General features: G+C 35.3%; 1 protein-coding gene across 4 annotated transcripts in view, besides 1 other annotated feature; it reads right to left on the bottom strand.

Moving 5' to 3' along the window:
- The window catches only part of IFT74 (intraflagellar transport 74), a 119,025-nt gene continuing 98,941 nt past the window's right edge, over nt 345-20,428 (bottom strand). For 3 of the 4 annotated variants that reach the window (NM_001099223.3, NM_001099222.3, NM_025103.4), the window contains exons 15-20: nt 19,108-19,205; nt 18,205-18,331; nt 10,707-10,870; nt 10,020-10,145; nt 5,828-5,888; nt 345-3,861 (exon numbers count right to left, since the gene is read on the bottom strand). In NM_001099223.3, coding sequence (NP_001092693.1) covers nt 3,743-3,861; nt 5,828-5,888; nt 10,020-10,145; nt 10,707-10,870; nt 18,205-18,331; nt 19,108-19,205 — 695 coding nt within the window. In that variant the 3' untranslated portion in view covers nt 345-3,742. Of the gene's footprint in view, nt 4,484-5,827; nt 5,889-10,019; nt 10,146-10,706; nt 10,871-18,204; nt 18,332-19,107; nt 19,206-20,428 lie in introns of all 4 variants that reach the window. The other variant, NM_001349928.2, reaches the window with a different exon arrangement.
- Nucleotides 934-1,228: a silencer, noted in NCBI's record as "tiled region #6395; HepG2 Repressive DNase unmatched - State 9:DNaseU". NCBI's record gives its function as "represses a minimal TATA promoter and a strong SV40 promoter by Sharpr-MPRA in HepG2 cells {active_cell/tissue: HepG2}" and the evidence as "EXISTENCE:reporter gene assay evidence [ECO:0000049][PMID:27701403]".

Raw genomic sequence — 20,428 nt, 5'->3', positions numbered from 1 at the left:
ACACCTTTCCCAGGACGATTTGTGTCACACGTCTTGGGTTCTGCATACTCTTTGAACCAATCTTATGAGTTAAGCATTATTATTCCATTTGTAGACGAAGAAACTGAAATTGTGAGACCAGCTTTCCAAGGTCATATAACAAATCAGTGGTGAAGCTGGGATTCACATTTCCAGCTATCTGATCTAAAGCTTACATGTAACCTCTATATCATAAATCTCATTCGATAATGTAGGATTTGTTTTTGAAAGTTTTGCACAATGAAATAATATGCAACAATTTAACATGTTGTACAACAGTATATAATGACATACAAAAATGTGTGCTAAATTACAAATAGCAAATGTAAAATTAAAAACAATATAATTTTAATTTAATTAAAGGTGCATAAATACATAAATAAAACAGATATGTGTGACATAAATATAGATGCGTATCTAAAAAGACTGGTGAGATCACAAGTAACTTACTTTCTTCATTTTATTTATCTGTCTTCCTAAATTATCTACCTTTGTATTAAAAATTGCCTTTTTAAAAATGTTTTTCAGTTATCAAACTGTAAACTTACAATTTTAAGACATAATCTACTTTTATTTCAAAAGTTATACAAAAATGAGACACAATATCAATTTAAAAATAGATTACTACAATTCTCTAGTGGTCCATCTTTATTTCTTCTTACTTTGAGTCTAAACATTATAATTTCCCTAAGGTTGTTTACACTGCAATTGTATAGCAAAAGGAAAGAAGTCTAGAGAAACTGAGCAAGGGAACAGCAAAAACCCCTGGAACTACTACTAACTGGCCTTTCATCTCTGGTGTGAATATGATTACTCCATGCTGTAATCCTCTAAGCAGGCACTGAATTTTGTACCTTAAAATGAGACTATAGTATTGTCCAAACGAGGGGCTCCACAGGAAAAAGAATATCAAGAACTCATGTTTATTTACTGATAAAAGATAAGGATGGGAAAAACAAAGACTTGCTAACTTTCCCATGTTGATCTTCACTAGTAAAACTGCTCAGCATGTTTGTTCAGTCTGCAGCTTCTTTCCATGTGACTTACAAGGTGTTATTTTAGCATGAATGGAACCCCCTGAGTAATGTGACTGACTCAGGAAGAGCCAGTTCATGCAGCTATTAGCCTCCAGTTCTATCCCAGTAAAGAGAATATTCTTGTTGGATTTGTGGAAAGGCTCTCAGAGGAAGGAAGAGAGACATTAGTGAGAATTTCCCTCAGATAAAACATGTTTTAATTTAAAGAAATCCTGCTCAATTATTTGCCCCCCACCAATATTACATATGAATAAATTAGGATGGAAATTGAAAGCCTTGCTTTTTGTCAAGAAATTTTTTTCCTGCCAAATTTCCCATTGTTATAATGCAAACACATATATTTAATGGACAGGCCAATCTTCCTCCTACTTTCTTTCTGCGTAAAGATTGGTTCAGTTCTAGAGTCAAGGACTTAAGAGTTTTTACTACATCCTTTCTGTCAGTTAAAGTAGTAACTGCATATAGTACTTTATTTGAATTTTATTGCATTTCTAAGTATTAAATGTACATCACAGACAATTTTGAAAATACCAAAAAGCCCAAGGAAGATTACAATCACCCATAATCCCACCACTCAGAAAAAAACCCTTATTACTAATAGTAAAAATTACTAAGTTGGTTATTTAAAAGGGTGCAGTAAAATGTCAAGAACACTTAAGTAGAAATCATAAAAAAAAACCTAAGGAAAAAGTAAAGGCATTTAAATTTGCTTTCAAATGAGGAAAACAAAGATTACCTATCCACAAACATGTTTTCCAGATTCCCTTCCTCCTTGGAAGTATCCACGAAATAGAATCAATGTGATTAAGAGACCATAGTAGTCAGTTCTCTTGCCTAAACTCTATGCTCAATCATACCTCTGTTTGTTACTGTATAAAAGATGAATGTTTTTCAGCAGTCGGGTATATCCATAAAGGCTCCTAATCACCAAATTACAGTAATACTTTATGAATGAACGAAGGGCTGCAAACTGTCATCAAAATCTATTACCTGTTTTATCTACTGAATTTCAGATTTCATTCTCTTTAACTGCTAAAAGAGTTTTTTTCCCTTGTGAAATTTTATAAGCACTTTCTGCTACCAATTTCCAATAGAAAACCCCATACAATCACAGCATAAAACAGCTGAGGGTGGCTAAAAAGAGACATACTCAGGAGTCATCTGAAAAAGGCCATAGAGCCACCCAGAGGACTTGAGTAGATGAAATTATTTTAGTGTATGAAGTCTATTTGGTGTACAAAGTCTATTTCTTGGAATGACACATCTCATGTGACCTAGGCTCTGTGAAAGTTAGGGTTTTGTGGACAACTATCTCTGGGAAATGCTTTACAGTATATATTCTTCTTGAGCTTATTATACATTAGCATATTAAGGGTTATGAGCAGTCAAGAAAAAATAAAATAATTCACCTTTGTTTCAGACAACGTTTCCCAAACTTCTTTGACCATGAATCCTTTGGAGGCATAACACTATTAATAACTCAAGATGCTCAGGATTTATGGAACACATTTTATGAATGCTACCTTAATGAATGTCCAGGATCTTCAGCCATATTAGTAATCCAGAGTTCAGCAAACTCAACAATGCTCACTCCTTTATTTAAATGTATATAGACTGAATTTGAATAATTTACCATTATAAATATTTATTTTTAAAAATCAACATATATGAGTAAATTTTAAAGTATGTAAATAATATCTCAATAAAGCTATTTTGGTTTAAGAAATCAATGTGTTGTTTCAGAAATACTGAAAAGTAGAGTTACTTAGTGAACATGATATCAGAGCAAAAACAGGATAGTTTTAAGTAATATTTTATGCTGGCCAAGGTGACTCATTCCTGCACGATAAGAGAAGATACATCTACAGTTAATATAATGTCTTCCAGACTCTATGCCTCTCTCCCAATCCTACCTCTTCTAGCTTTTTTCCCCAAATATTCTGGCTAATGTTTATAAATTAATCTACTTAAGTTCTCCTAATAGTACAAGAGAGTAAATGCATACTGCAGGGTGGCAATGAACAGCAGTAGCCATAGTCCAAAACAGCCCACTATAAATGTAGTCTTTTACCTAATGTTCTTCCAGGTATATATATGTGAAAAAATATTTTAAGAATTGCAAAGATTAAAAGTTTCTAATTCCAAATCTTTAGGTATAACTGCTATATAAAGAATATATGTTATATATTTACCTGTGACATTATATGGTCTAATACACATCAAATATAACCTATTTGAGAAGTAACATTCAAAGCTAAAAATCTCCCTTCTAATCTTACTAATTTTTTCTAGAAGTAAAAATTGACAAGGTTGATCTAAGTGCTAAATCAGAATCATACTCCATGCATCCGTCCTAGAGTTGATACAAGAAAAGCTTATCTCATTTGTTGCCATAGATGGATTATACCAGCTAAATAAATTTCAACGGTCACTTTTAGTTTCTTTATCTCTTGGTTCAAATACAAGTAGCATAAAAAGAAAAGAAGATGGTACTTTTTAATATGCAAACCATTTATTGAACTATTTACTATTTTAAAATATCATTCTTAAAAGAGGCCACAAAAATTATAACATTCAGAAATTTTAGGTAAACTCCAAAAGTAAGCTTTTTTTTTTTTTGGTAGTCAACTTGTACCAAGTTTAGCAGCAAGAGGATACTTCCTTAGAGACTTTCAGTGGACTTAAACTCAGTTTCCGCTGGTGCTATGTAAAGCATCCACGATGGTTTTATTGTACTCTGCAATCTGCTTGGTCACATTTTTCTTAATTGGCTGGTAATCACTCTCTTGACTCTTGGTTGCTATGACTAATTACATGAGTTAAGGGGGAAAACAATGTCAATAAAAATCTAATTGTGCCTGAGAAAGGAACTAAATACTGACATTTTTCATACTGAAGATGGTACAAAAAAGCACAATTAGAATACTTTAAAATACAGTACATCATTTTAACAGATTAAGCATCAATTAAAACCTAAAATGCCAAGCTAAACTTACCGCAAAAAATTCATATACAATATAAACACTTTTTAATACTTAATATGTTATGCATTTTTAATCTAATTCTGGTCTTAGAACAATCTAACGTTCAATGAACTAGTTCCTATATTCAAACACACATACACACATACACATACCACGTTCTCTAGAGTACCACAAATAATTTAAGGCAAATTTCTAGACTTCGCTCTGCTCCAAAATCACCTACTTTATGTTGCACAAAACTCCAGTGTGAGACTTAGAGCATACTGTGAACAAGTCCTCTATTTTTAAACTAAGTTGCACTAACACTGGCAACAGAGTACCTAAAACACCTTATCTGGAGGTAAGATGGGGTCCAGGCTGCTTCTGAGCTGAAGTTCAGCACCACCCTGGGGGAGAACCTATGCTGCCACTGAGTCAGGATCTAGTTCTCCAGGCAGAGACATCCTTGAATGGGTCAAAGAAGGGAATAGGAAACAACTTTTAAGGAAATATCTGTTACAACTTCACAACACATGTTCTCAACAGCTGCTTGCTGCCTCCTGTAATCAAACTAAAAGTAAACAATAAGATGAGACATAAGTATCATCTTTGTAGACATATAATGGAGTTGAAATGGCTAAAACATGGATGAGCTTGGAAGTCAAACTTCTCAGGATCTTACTTAGTTTACCTCCCTTTGCTGCCCAGATATTCAAGGTAGAACCATATAAACAACAAACAACTATATATTATATATTATGTACATATATATATATATATATACTTGTGGATATATATAACTATATGGTTATATATAATTCTCCCAACACTATGAGAAGGTAATATTAACTATATTTTAGAGATTTTAGAGATGATACAATTCTGGGGCCGAGAGCAGTGGCTCATGTCTCTAATCCCAGCACTTGAGCAGGCCGAGGTGGGATTGAGCCTAGGAGTTTGAGACCAGCCTGGCTAAGTTGGCGAGACCCCTGTCTCTAAACAAAAGAGAAATTCTTGCCATGTTTATCAGAAGATTTACTGATAATGTTTAACTTTACCCAAGCCCTGTGATCCCGGAAAACTGAATCTTAAGAGATGATACAGTTCTAGCTTGAACAGATTAAATTGTCCAGTTTGTAACTTACAAGCAGTAGAGTTGACATTTAAAATTGGATCGCCCAACTCCAAAATCTGGGCACTTAATCACTATGCCACATTAAGTCTTTGTACTCCTTTTTTGGCAACTCCCAAAATCTGCTTTCTATTAGTTACTTGAGGGCACGTGCGTGCGCACACACACACACACACACACACACCTCTTAACTACTGTAGAATTGAAACAGTCATATTCATTTAATTTGGCCCAGGGTTTTGTACATATCTGGTATTTAATAAGTAGGTGTTGAACTAAATTTGAGTCTTTAAAAAAATTCCTAGAAAAAAATAACTCAGTCAATTTCATTTTCAGCTTTTTTTTTTTTTTTTTTTTTTTTTTTTTTGAGATGGAGTCTTGCTCTGTCGCCCAGGCTGGAGTGCAGTGGTGCCATCTCGGCTCACTGAGAGCTCCACCTCCCGGTTTCACGCCATTCTCCTGCCTCAGCCTCCCAAGTAGGTGGGATTGCAGGCACCCGCCACCACGCCCGGCTATGTTTTTTTTGTATTTTTTAGTAGAGATGGGGTTTCACCGTGTTAGCCAGGGTGGTCTCAATCTCCTGACCTTGTGGCCCACCTGCCTCGGCCTCCCAAAGTGTTGGGACTATAGGCATGAGCCACCGCACCCGGCCCCATTTTCAGCTTTTTAAAGGATACATTCTTTCATCGCAAAATTATTTTGCTCAAGGTGTTGCCACTTTCTCTCCAAATTTGTAAGCTAAAAACATAAAAGAAAAATATTAATTAGGACCCATATTTAAAACAATTAAATGCCTTTCTAAGAGGATAAGACAAAAAAAATCTCTCCAACTTTAAATCTTATCAACTTACATTTTATTGAGATAAAGCCACGGTAGAAAAAAAAAGATTAAATAATAGTAAATATATTAATACAGTGATGAATCCTATAACATGTTTTACTCTATATATTTATTTTAATTATATTTTAAATGTTTATTATACCAATGAACATGCCAACTGAAAGACAATTTATGATTTTCCTTTCCCTAAAAAAACTTTTAAAAGAAAAATGGGACATGATGGGAATCTCTTCTTAAAATCTGGAAGTCTAATGCCACAAATATAATACATATTCAAACACTGTCAAAGGTTCAGCCATATAGGAGAAACTTCCTTATTTCCAGGGCTAAATTTCCTGTGTAATTCCACAAGCTGTGATAAGAGCAGAGCTGCAGTGTGAAGATTATAAGAGAGCTGGTAAAAAGCTGGCACTGTTACAATAATTTCTGCATCAACAGGAAGCTAATGTGGATATTATATTGATGGTTGCTTCCTCAGAAGACAATTTTACTGTTATAGAATTATATTGTTTTTCTGATTTAATTAACCTTGTAACTCTGGTTATGGTCTTTCTTTTTTAAGATGCACATAGTTTTTTCCAAAGCAAAGGACCATTTGAAAATTGAAATGCTAAAATTATGTTCCACCTGGACATTTCAAAGAAGTAATGATTATTTTTAAAAATACAATAATTGAAGCAACAGTGGAAATGTTTCTATCCTCATGTTAAAATAATTTTCAGGGCGTAAATTCAGGCTTGATGTAGATCCATCTCATTGTTTCCTCCAAAGAGATAAATCTAGATATTAGAATGAATCATAGCTAATTAATTATGTGAACTGTATGTGCTGTGAGCTGGTATTACTAATCACATCAATCTCCCCCAGACAGGACCTTGAAGTTAAGATGGACTTAAGGAAGCAGTCAGCAGTTTCTGGCAGTAAATTTCTAATAACCTTCAGCAAAGTCAAGTACCAGACTTTTTTGTCATTGTTTCATACAAACAGGTGGCCTTCTTATAATGCATCAGACCTGTTAAGTGCTACAGGAATGGTATAAAAGCAATGCTGTGTCAGATGGTCAAATTCCTTTTACATTATACCTCTATATTATTGACTCCTTTAAACCTCCAAGGACATCATGAAGCAAAAATTCATTTTGAAAATCTGTTTTTCCCTAACTAGTTTAAATAATCTGTTACATAAAATTCTTTAGAGATGCCAAAAGCCAGTTTTCAAGAAGATAATTGTGAAAGATAGGAAGACCAGGATTTGACTTAATCAGTTGGGATTCACAAAAGATGACAAATAACACAGAGAAGGATTCGAAATTGTGGCTTATGTTATGATTTCCAGTTATCAATACATGGAGTTAAAATTAGCAATTAATGTGGGGATAAACAAGTTAACCACTCACTGGCTCTAAGAAATGGTGTTTTTCAAGTGCTTTCCACCTTAAATCATCTATTCAGTGAATGAGGAGGGCTAATATTCCATAAGAAGTATCAGTATTTTTTTCCAAGAATTGCTGAAGACAATGACCTCCCAAACTTTGTCTTGTTTCTTCCCCAGCACTCATCCTCACTCTAAACAACCTAAGAAAATTGTGTCAATTATAAGTCTATATCTAGGTTTCCATATGAAGTAGAACAGAATAACTGGTAAATTTGAATTATGTAAATTAGTGATTTCTAAGCTTTTAGTAGTTGTAGCAAGCTTTCATGAGATTCTACCCTTTTCAAAAAGAATGTAAGGTGTATGTTGTTTTCAAATGGTACATCCATACAATGAAATAGCTAATGCTATAGAAATGTCACCAAAGGCCGAGTGTGGTGGCTCACACCTGCAATCCCAGCACTTTGGGAGGCCGAGGCAGGTGGATGACCTAAGGTCAGGAGTTCGAGACCAGCCTGGCCAACAAGGTGAAACCCTGTCTCTACTAAAAACACAAAAAAATTAGACAGGCGTGGTGGCTGGCGCCTACAATCCCAGCTACTTGGGAGGCTGAGGCAGGAGAATTGCTTGAACCCAGGAGGTGGAGGTTGCAGTAAGCCAAGATCACACCACTGCACTCCAGCCTGGGTGACAAGAGCAAAACTTCGTCTCAAAAAGAAAAAAAAGGCTAAGCACAGTGGCTCATGCCTGTGATCCCAGCACTTTGGGAGGCTGAGGCAGGAGGACAGTTTGAGGCCAGGAGTTCAAGACTAGCCAGGGCAATACAGCAAGACCCTGTCTCTATAAAAAATAATAAAAATTGGCTGAGCATGGTGGTCTGTGCCTGTAGTCCTAGCTACTCAGTGGCTGAGGCAGGAGGATCGGTTGAGTCCAGGAGCTCCAGGTTGCAGTGAGCTACAATTATGTCACTACACTCTACCCTGGGCAACACAGTGAGACTCTGTTTGAAAAAAAAAAAAAGAAGGCTGAAAAAAGTTAAGAAAATGTTGAAAGACTGTATGAATAGCATGGTTTTATTTTTTGTAAAAACAATATGGATGTATGATTGCAAAGGATGAAAATACTACAAGGATATGGCACCAAAATGTTAACAACGGTTGTACCTATGTAGTGGAAAATCAAATGACATCATTTTTATTTTGCTCTATCATGATCACATAACCATATGAAGAAAAAGAGAGTTTTGTTTTTTTTTTGAGACAGAGTCTCGCTCTGTCACCCAGGCTGGAGTGCAGTGGCGCGATCTCAGCTTACTGCAAGCTCCGCCTCTCAGGTTCAAGCCATTCTCCTGCCTCAGCCTCCCGAGTAGCTGGGACTACAGGCACCCGCCACCACTCCTGGCTAATTTTTTGTATTTTTAGTAGAGACGGGGTTTCACCGTTGTTAGCCAGGATGGTCTTGATCTCCTGACCTCGTGATCCGCCCACCTCAGCCTCCCAAAGTGCTGGGATTACAGGCGTGAACCACCGTGCCTGGCCAAAAGAGGGAATTTTTAATGCATTTAGGGTTTTAAACCATGTGTGCAAATTTCTAATATAGACTAATTAGATATAAGAATGATCAATTTTTTTCAGACCGTAGTTATTGACTTTGTACATGACACATAATGCTTCATTCAATCATTCAACAAATAATTGCTGAGTACCTACTATGTGCCAACCAATACCACAGGGCAAGGAATAAAGTAAACGAGACAGACATTGTCTCTGTCCCGTCAGAGCTCTCAATCTAGACCTCACACACTGTTCAAGTAATTATCAGCAAGATGAGTGATATGAAAAGGGGGCTGCAGGTATATATATCTACGCATCCTATGTAAATAATTGGAGATATGAATTAAGAAGTTCAAGGATACCTGGATTGCTCTTTATAGCATTATTTCAATGGTTTTAAAACTAGAAATTACCTAAATATCCAACGAAAGGGAATTGGTTCAATATATTATGCGACATCCATGCACTAGAATATCATTAAGCTATTAATATTTTTTAAAAGTCAATATATATATTGACAAGGGAAAGTACTTATGATGTATAGTTAATCATGAAAAACAAGCTCCTAAATGATATGTACAATATGGCACAATTTCTATAAATGCATAGAAATAAATGTGTACCTAAGTATATGCATAAATATGTGTATACACATATCTATCTATCTATCTATCTATCTATCTATCTATCTATCTATCTATCCATTGACTAAAAGAACCCACACTAAAGCAACAATAAGCATTCTCTCTTCTGGGTGGTGGGGTACTAATCATTAGAATTTATTTTATTTGTGATTTTATGGATTTTTAGTTTCTGTATTAGTAATGTTTCACTTCCAAAATTTTTAAAATATACTACCCCATATATCTTAACAGTTGTGCCCAAGACAGTATCTAACAGAGTTGGCTTTCAATATAGGTTTATGGAAGGTAAGAAAGCAGGAGTCCATTCATTCTGAATGAAGACTGTACAGAATCTGGCTGTCTTAAAAGTCAGAAAATCTAGAAGGTATATAAAGCAAATTTTAAAATAAAAAATTGATTGTTTTGGGGTGAAAATATAGACTAAGACAATTTCAAAGTCATTTAAAACATTTTTTACCTGAGAATGTGTCTCATTTTCTTGCAATTGTGTTTTTAGTGCCTCATACTCTATGTTTTGCTTCTCCATTATTTTCTTAAAGGCATTTCTGTGGGTTGATAATATCATTCTCTCCTGATGTAATTTCTAGAAAGATCCAAATAGAAGTGACAGGTTATAGAAAATATGTAGTAAGCCAATATAAATCATATTTAACTTAATTTCAATAACTATATTCTGGTAAAATTATATCAAGGCTATAACTACTCTAAAACCCGTTTGTAAAAATATCCTTTGAACTATAAGCTATGTTAACATTATCTGTATTAATAACTCTATTAATGCTGCCATATCTCTCCCGACCCTACCAAATTAAGTCTAAATTAATGTAAATGGCAATGGAAAGCCACTGACAAGTTTCAGGTAGGATAGAGTCATAATCTAAACTGCATTTAACAAAGCTCACATCTGCTGAAATGCTCTGTATTAAGTAGCAGCTTATACCTTGCTTTTCAATTTTTGCTTTTCTTTAAAACTTTAAGTCACTCTAAATTCCAACTACATATGTAAACATTTTTATTTTTTCTCACTTATATATATAAAATAATCAACTTAAAATAATAAATCCTATAAACCACAAATATATTACATTTGATCAAGAAAAAAACAATCTGAATTGTAATTCTGTAAGACTTGGTTAACATTTACCTTTATCTTTTCTTCACCTGATGATTTTAAAGCTGGCAAATCATTATATATCTCCAGATCAGTTGTCATTTGCTTAATTTTGCTTTTTAGAGAATGCTGTTCTTCAGTCATCTTACTTTCTAGAAGCTCCATTTTCTGCAGATCCAACTGCAGACGTTGAATGTCTGAAACATAAGAATTTAAGGTGATAATTAATCAAAATTTTATTCCTTTCACATAAGGAAATGTAATGCAACTATTAAAAATCATGTTTTTTAAGAATATCTGTAAAAGAAATATATGTTCACTGTAACCAGTGAGATAATATAAACTAAGAAAAAAAAATACTCATCCCCTCAATAACCAATTTCAGGTAACCAATATATTAGGGAATCAAGGTAACCTGATGTCTATTAGCCACAGCTGTCTCCATGCTAACAAACATTTAAGTTTTTTTCTTGCTTAGTAATATAATCTATATTATGAGATAAAGACACATTATTTTTAACAGAAGCATGACACAGTTATGTAGGGAAAAAACCAAGTTATAAAACATTATATATATATTTGAGCACAATTTTATAATTGCACACATAATCAACTCTTACTATCTGTGGTAGTTATGTCCTATGAAGTTATTGTGAACAATGAGTTAGCAAATATTGAACTATTGCTCCCAAAGGAAATACAGAGTTAAGTTCCTGTGAGCCTTTAGTCACATTTTAGTCAATTAGCCAATACATAATCTTGCTTTATGTTTGTTTAAAGACATTTTATTTACTATAGGTTGTAGATTCACTAACATTGAACTCACAGCCAACAGCACTGTAACTTATGCCTGAATTAAGTTTACCTATCACACATTTTCTCCATAAGGCTATGATGTGCCTTAGGAACACTTAGCACATCAGCACTTTGCTTGGGGCCATTTTAAATGGCATGATCACCAACAGAAAGCACAAAAATGCAAAAAACATGCCACTAAATATACTGCAAAAAGGAAACCTCTTTATAGTATGAGAACTGACATAAGAAGGCAGAGTGTTGCCTTTTTCAACTTCTGTTGGCAATGTGCATGTCAGGCTGTTGAAATTTTTCACGAGTCTGCACATGCCCACAAATGATCATGAAAATGCTGCAAGGATTGATTTGGGGGGTACAAAGTAACTTTAGTGAGAGGGCAAATTCACAATATGAAATATATGAATAATGAGGATACCTGTGTGTGTCTCATTCTTCCATTCAAAAATATCAAGCATCTACTATGTGCCAGGTGCTGAGGATATAATAGCAATCAACAGAGACATGGTTTTCACTCAGGGAGCTGTATTTTAGAGGTAGAAGCAGGCAATTAAATAAGTATTTACAATAAACTGGATAAATATGAAAAGAGTAGCACAGGGTGCCATAAAAGCATGTAGCAGGGATGAAGAGAGCTCTCTAAAGATATGCCTTTCAATTAAAGGCTTAAGGTTTATGAATATCACACAAAGAGGAAGGTAAAAGTGTTCCAGCAAAAACAATCAGCATGTGCAAAGTCTAGAGGTAAGAAAGTCTAGTACCTTTGAGCCAGTAACAAGTTCAGCATACTGAATAGTAAATGAATATGAATGAATTTGAAGAGTAAAAAACAATGCTTCGAAAGTCACTGATTTGAGAAAACAGGCTGTTATCCAACCAAAATTTTTAAAGTTAGTATAATTAAGCCAGTATTTCTTGAATGTTTCCTTTTATCCCTTTAAGAGTTTTAAAAGTCAACCACAGCGACATACACTATTTAAAAATATATATGTGTATGTACACGTAAATACAAATATGTATATAGCAAAACTTAAATGTTGTTGCAAAGAGTTTTGTTTTGTTGGATTCTTATCTCTACCACGGTTAGAAATAGTTATGAGAATCAAAGAGCTGAACAAGTGACTAAGGCTTATGCTATTTTAATGCTCGAAATAGGAACTGTTTTTAGCCTGTAGATATTTTGACTATTTGGAGTAAACACTGATATAAATCTAACTGCAAGTTTAATTTGAATATATACTAGGGAAATACATTTAAGAACCATACAAATTGATTTTTCTTGATAAAAGGAGAAAATGGCTGGTATAGGGTAAAGTTTATCTTCCTTTAACAACAGGTCCGCAATGAAAAGCTAAATGCTACTCCAAGGGAAGAGACAGGAAGAGGATGCAGTCTAGTTCCTTCTGATATGCCGTGAAGTTGCAAAGTTTACCAAGCAGTGTGTACATAGGAGCAAAATCTCAGAAGGAACCACTTTGACCCGGGGAAGTGTTTCTAAGATAGTCTGTCATCAGCACATTTGTTTACTCTCTGGAGTTTCCTTTCCAAAAATATAAATAAAAAATATTGCTCATAAATCCCTTGCCTCTTTGCCCATGCAGTACACCAGTGTTTCTCAACCTTTTTCTTACATTATTGATTCCCTAAGAAGTCGATTACAGACTCTTTTTCCCCAATCACCTCCCTCCCCTGAAATTTTTACATCACCCATGTGGTGTGTAGCCATTTAGGTATGGTGACCTCTGGAGGGCCATTATAATATCTAAGTTTTCTTCACCCTTCCCCCAAGAAGTGATTGCTCCATTAAAAAAAAAAAAAAAAAAAAAAAAAAGGCCAGGCGCGGTGCTCACGCCTGTAATCCCAGCATTTTGGGAGGCCGAGGCGGGCGGATCACGAGGTCAGGAGATCGAGGCCATCCTGGCTAACACGGTGAAACCCCGTCTCTACTAAAAATACAAAAAATTAGCCGGGCGAGGTGGTGGGTGCCTGTAGTCCCAGCTACTCGGGAGGCTGAGGCAGGAGAATGGCGTGAACCCCTGGGGGCGGAGCCTGCAGTGAGCCAAAATCGCGCCACTGCACTCCAGCCTGGGCGACAGTGAGACTCCGTCTCAAACAACAACAACAACAACAACAACATGGAGTACACTAAATCCATTCTATCTGAAAGGCGAACAAGAATATTATAAACCTCTCATGGTGTTTTGAAGATACAAAAAAATTTCTTGAGGTGGGGGATGGTGTTAGGGAAGGAAAGAAAGAATAAATTATATGGTTGGTTGAAGTTAAAATGAAAACAATGTAGTAAATGAAATTAATTATAAGCATCAAAGAATTTAACCCTTACAAAGAAAAATTTCCAGCAAAATCCTTATCATACTATTAAACTGGATTTTTATCTCCATTGAAGCCAGTTTTCAATTTTTTTTCAAACTGTACATCTCAGGAGAACACATAATGACTACTTTTTTTTTTTTTTTTTTTTTTTGAGATAGATTTTCACTCTGTTGCCCAGGCTGGAGTGCAATGGCGCGATCTCGGCTCACTGCAACCTCCACCTCCCGGGTCCAAGTGATTCTTCGGCCTCAGCCTCCTGAGTAGCTAGGATTACAGGCTTGCACCACCACACAGGCTAATTTTGTATTTTTAGTAGAGATGGGGTTTTACCATGTTGGTCAGGCAGCTCTTGAACTCGTGACCTCAGATGATCCGCCCGCCTTGGCCTCCCAAAGTGGTGGGATTACAGGCGTGAGCCACCTCCCCTGGCCCATAATGACTAGTTGTTAAAAGGAATTATAAACACAAAGTATAAAGTACGGAATGAATACAAAGTCTTGATTATTGAATTTGTTTCCTGGTATTGATTTTTGCCTTTTAAAAAATGTACATTTCTTGACAGCTGTTACAGAAAGATAGCTTAAAGGGGGAAAAACTTGTTGAATTTACATTGACTTTAGATAAATGAAAAACTTAGGCATGAAGGTCTAAAATACGAAACAGAGGTTTTCTAAATGAAATAAAACTATAAAATTATTTAGTTTATAGAAAAGAGAAAATATTCTTAAATATTCATATATGTCCAAAAGAAATGAAAATAGGATCCTGAAGAAATACTTACACACCCATGTTCACTGCAGCATTATTCACAATAGCTAAAAGGTGGAAGCAATCTGTCTGTCTACAGATAGACTTTAAAATATGATATATACATGCAATAGAATGTTTCAACCTTAAAAAAGAAAATCCTTCTTTGCTACAACATGGATGAACCTTAAGGACATTACGCTAAGTGAACTAAGTCAGTCCCAAAAGGACAAATACTGTATGACTTCATTTATATGAGGTAATTTAAAGTAGTCAGACTCATAGAAACAGAAGTAGAACGGTGGTCTCCAGGGGTCAGGGGATAGGGAAATATGGAGTTGTTATTCAGGAGGTAAAGTGTTTTTGTTCTGCAAGATGAAAAAGTTCTAGAGATTCGTGGCACAACAATGTGCATATAGTTAACACTACTGTACTGTATACTTCAAAATGGTTAAGATGATAAATTTTGTTATGTGTTTTTTTACCACAATAAAAATATACTCACAGTCAAACCAACAGTAGTTATATATCAAGAATGTAACTCCTCCAGTTACTTGGCATATAGACATACAAAAAAAAACTACGGCAAACAAACTCTCAACAAATCTGGATATAAAATAGGCTTAAATATAGCAATTATATACCTATATCACCACTACTAATGCAATTAATAGCATTCAGTATGCATTTATAGGTCCATAATCCCTTATCTAAAACCCTTGGGCAGTTCTATTTCAGAATGCAGAATTCTTTGGATTTTAGAAAAGTAATACAGCACATATACTTATGATTACATAACTCCCATGGCAAAGTCTGAGGGAATACCTTGTCATCAAGTACACGAATATTTCTATAGCAAAAAGCATAAATAGTCACACTAGGTAGGATAATTAAAAACTATAAATAGCCTCACGTCAGTTCAGGTCAGGTCAGGTTTTGCTGCCAATATCTTTTTAGATTTTGGGAATCCAGATAAAGGTATTATGGATCATTATTTCATTTCAAAAATCTTTTATATATATATATTATTATACTTTAAGTTCTAGGGTACATGTGCACAACGTGCAGGTTTGTTACATATGTATACATGTGCCATGCTGGTGTGCTGCACCCATTAACTCGTCATTTACATTAGGTATACCTCCTAATGCTATCCCTCCTCCCTCCCCCCACCCCAAAACAGGCCCCGGTGTGTGATGTCCCCCTTCCTGTGTCCAAGTGTTCTCATTGTTCAATTCCCACCCAAAAATCTTTCAACATTCTTAAGTTAGCAAATATTAATTAGGTCTTCATTTCTCACTATCTCACTAACTGTAGTAATTCCAGGTAGACAAAAACATAGCTAATTCAAAGCTGCAACACACCAGCATAAAGAACACCCACAGAAGCCATTAGTTCATAAACCAAAGATCCCATACAAATTTTTACATGACCTTATCCTAGTCTCTTTAACCTCAACTTTGTTTATTTGTATCTAATCTCCACCTGCACCATCCCAATGGCAGCCATTAGCCACATGTGATTTTTGAGCCCTTTTAAGTATGTCTAGTCCAGGCCAGGTGCAGTGGCTTACGCCTGTATTCCCAACACTTTGGGAGGCCGAGGTGGGCAGATGGCTTTAGCCCAGGAGTTTGAGACAAGCCTGGAAAACATGGTGAAACCCCATCTCTATTAAAAATACGAAATATTAGCTAGGCGTGCTGGTGTGTGCCTGTAGTCCCAGCTAGTTGGGAGGCTGAGGTGAGAGAATCACCTGAGCCCAGGAAGTAAATGCTGCAGTGAGCTGTGATCACGCCACTGCACTCCAGCCTGGGCAATGAGAGTGAGACCCTGTCTCATAAATAAATAAATAAATAAATAAATAAGGCTAGTCCTAATTGAAATGTCGTGAAGATAAAATATCTCTTTGATCATTTTTATATAGCTTACATGTTGAAATAATAACTTGGCTATATCAGTTTAAATACAATATATTATTAAAATTAATCTGTCTCTTTTTACTTTGTCAACATGGCTACTCGAAAACTTTATATAAATATAATATATACTGTCATTAAATTTCTCTTGGACAGTGCTGCTCTAGTCTCATGATAGCAAGCATGACTGAAACTAATTAAAGTGAAACATCATCTCTTCTTAACTATCCAAGACTAGGCTGGATATGTGCCCTATGTACTTCCGTTGCTCCTTATGCTTACTTCTATCATAGCATTATTTCATTGTATCATAACTGTCACTCCACCAAGTTGAAAGTTTCTTGAGGAAACAGATTAGATTTTTTTAAGCCTCTTATACTGACAAAGATTCAATCCTTGACCAAACTAGCTAGGCTCCTCTGAGCTCTCTTCTCAACTAGGCCTCAACCTCTGCCTATAAAAATTCCACTCTCAGCACAAATGATTTCATGCACCACCTTCTACCCACATTAGAAGATTTAAACAAACAGTTTCTAACAGCTCAAGTCTGCATCCCTGGGATGACCCTATCCCCACTTAAAGTGCCTGCCAGACAAAGCTCAAGGCCGCCGAAAGAATGTACTATTTATTCTAGCCCGTACTGGTCAACAGGCCCCTGACTACCCTTTCTTAGGGTATCCAGTTGTGAATCTTTCCTCTGTACCTTTAAGATGTATATGTGTACTAGTCTATTTGCATTGCTATAAAGGCATACCTGAGACTGGGTAATTTATTTTTAAAAAATAAGTTTATTTGGCTAATGGTTCTACAGGCTGTACATGAAACATGGTGCCAGCAACTGCTTCTGGTGAGGGCCTCAGGAAGCTTACAATCATGACAGAAGGCAAAGGGGAGCCTGCATGTTACAAGGCAAGAGAGAGAAGGAGGAGGTACCAGGCTCTTTTAAACAACCAGATCTTGCGTGAACTCACAGAGAACATACTAATTACTGCAAGGATGACACTGAGCCATTCACGAGAGATCCGCCCCCATGACCCAAACATTTCCCACTAGGCCCACCTCCCACACTAGAGGTCACATTTCAACATAAAATTTGGAGGGGACAAAAAATCCAAACCATATCTGTATGTACCTCCCACAACTCAGGAGTATTTTCCTCAAGGACCTAAAAGCCATTCCATTAAAACGTGATTATCAGGAAAGTTAGGGCCTCTGTCTGCTAGTCTGTGTATAAACATAGACTCCTAACTTGATAATTGCCAGCTAACAGACACAGCTGGCCTAACCAGCATGTACATTGATGAACCCTGTAATTTTTCATTTCCCTTACTACTCCCTCATTCTCCCTTTAAAACACTCAATCACCTCTGTACAAATCAAAGTTGATTTCAATTCATGCTGGACCCTCCTGCCTTACTGCCACGCTGTATTACTGACTAAAATCTATCCTTAGCACTTTAACATGCATCCAGCTTTGTTTATCTTTAACAATATCCAGAATTATATAGCACAGGCTTGAAATAAGTATTCAATAAATGTTGTTAAATCAGTGACAATATACAACATAATACTAGCCAGCTGATGAAAAAAGCCACACATAATTCTGGGGCAATAGGCAATCATAAATTATAGCCTCTGTCAATGAGGCTTTAAAATAATCAGAGAATAACATTGATATATTTTAAAAAAAAAGAATATTAAAATCTAGGTTGTTTTCTCACCTGAAGTCAAATTCTGAGCTGTACTTTGTGATTTCTGCACTTCAGTAGATTTAAAATTGAGGTCATCCTGCATCATCTTTAGCTCTTGATTGGTGATAGAGGATATCTGTTCTATACGATTTATATTCTGCATTTGCAGAGAAATAAAAATAGAAAAAAATCCACTGATTTAGTTAGTTCTCAATAAAACTCTTGGAAAACACTGTCAAAGGATGAGATGTTTGGATCAGGTATTTTTTTTGAAATACACCATTCAAGTTATATATTGTATAGAAAATGAGATTCCAAATTGGGTTTTCTCAATAAAGACAGACTATAAATTCAAAATTGTGGGTTTTTTTTCATTTCCTTTATTTCACTGCAGAAAAAATTCAACTACACTATTTTAGAAACTGGTTGGAGTCTTAAAACACTAGAATATTGAAAGGGGGGCATGCATTTCATAATAGATGCCCAATAAACATTTTTTGATAATTTGAGATACTCATTACATATACATACAAGAATCTTTTTATTTACAATAAATTTACAGTATAAAAATACATTAACATTTTCTAACATGTCTAGATTTTGAAATTATCTGTGCAAATGTTACTTTCAAAAGTTCAGATAGATTAACAATGGAAGAAGATCATAATAATTACTCTGAATTAGTGCTTCATTTACTGCTGAATATTGATATTATACATGTCATCCTTTTTCTCTATTGCCCTAATTACCTGACATTTTGCTAGAGTGATAAAAAAGTTAATAGCTGAAATAAATAGTAACAAGTAAGGGAATTGAAAGGAAGCAGTTAAATGAGAAGATACAATAGTGAGCCGTTCTATTTTTTGAGTTGTATTTGGAAAGTTAATCACGGCAAAAATAAAGAGGACACCAAGACAGGCACATGGTACTCACTCGACTGCAGTGCTCCAAGAGTGCAACAATGTTGGCTTCTATCTGTGCCTTTCGTTTCAGTTCCTGATTCTTTGTTTCCTCAAAAGTCTCAATAAAAGCTGACAATTGGAAAACATAAGAGAGATTACTGCTGATAGAGTTAACACTATATAAACTCTGATTTGCAGTTCTTAAGAGTGCTTTTTAGAATTTTCTTTTTTTGAGACAGAGTCTCACTCTGTTGCCAGGCTGGAGTGCAGTGGCACGATCTCGGCTCACTGCAACCTCCACCTCTGGGTTCAAGGGATTCTCCTGCCTCAGCCTCCTGAGTAGCTGGGACTACAGGCATGCACCATCACGCCCAGCTAATTTTTGTATTTTTACCAGAGACAGGGTTTCACCATGTTGGCCAGGATGGTCTCGATCTCTTAACCACGTGATCCACCCGCCTCGGCCTCCCAAAGTGCTGGGATTATAAGCTTGAGCCACGGCACCTGGCCCAATTTTTAGAAATTTTAAGCTGCCACTGTTTAATTTGTTATTAACCCAAAGGTAATTATTATTCAATAAGAACTTTATATACTTTCAAACTGCCTAAATCCTGTGACCTTGATATAAGTAAATCAGAAAGTTATAAATATAAGCTCAAAAGAAATAGCTGATAAAATGACAATCAGAAGAAATTTGCTTTTATAAAGATCTCCTTTGATACATCAATAATTATTAACACCCTGACTACTAACTTTATTTCTATAATTTCCAATGCTGAATACCCATTTTATCTGAAAATAAGTATTTTATTTACAATGCTGGATTCATTTCAACTAAATGAATTTAATAATGTATTCAGATTGTAAATAAATATTCTAGGAAATTATCTTTTTACTTGTTTAATATAGAAACAGCTCTTATTTACATTTTCGAGTATTTCTATGGAGCATCTAAAAAATAGAAACTTTCAGTCAAAAATAATTTTACTGTTAGCATGAATAACATCAATAGCTTGCCTTCTGTAATGGATTCCCATTATACTTTTTTCTTATATTTAGCATATTTTTTAAAGTAAAACAGTCTTCAACAAAACATTTTTTATTTGAATATGGTGGTAGAGGACCACAATCAACATTTTTTATAAAACTGAATTTTCTTTAATGTCCTGCTTCAGCATTCACACAGGTCTTATGTGTGAATATCCTGCTTCTATAATCTGTTGATCACACATTAAGTGGACATATGAGATTTTTACATATACAAAGGCATAAATGAACATTGTCTTTCAGGGGTTATTTTTTAAGGAAAACAAACCATAATTAATATGTGGAAAGAAATCTGAGCTAGGTGA

Source organism: Homo sapiens, chromosome 9 (assembly GCF_000001405.40).
Source record: "Homo sapiens chromosome 9, GRCh38.p14 Primary Assembly".
Lineage (NCBI taxonomy): Eukaryota > Metazoa > Chordata > Mammalia > Primates > Hominidae > Homo > Homo sapiens.
Note: the sequence above shows the minus strand (reverse complement) of the source record. Positions and strands in the feature narration are given on the sequence as shown.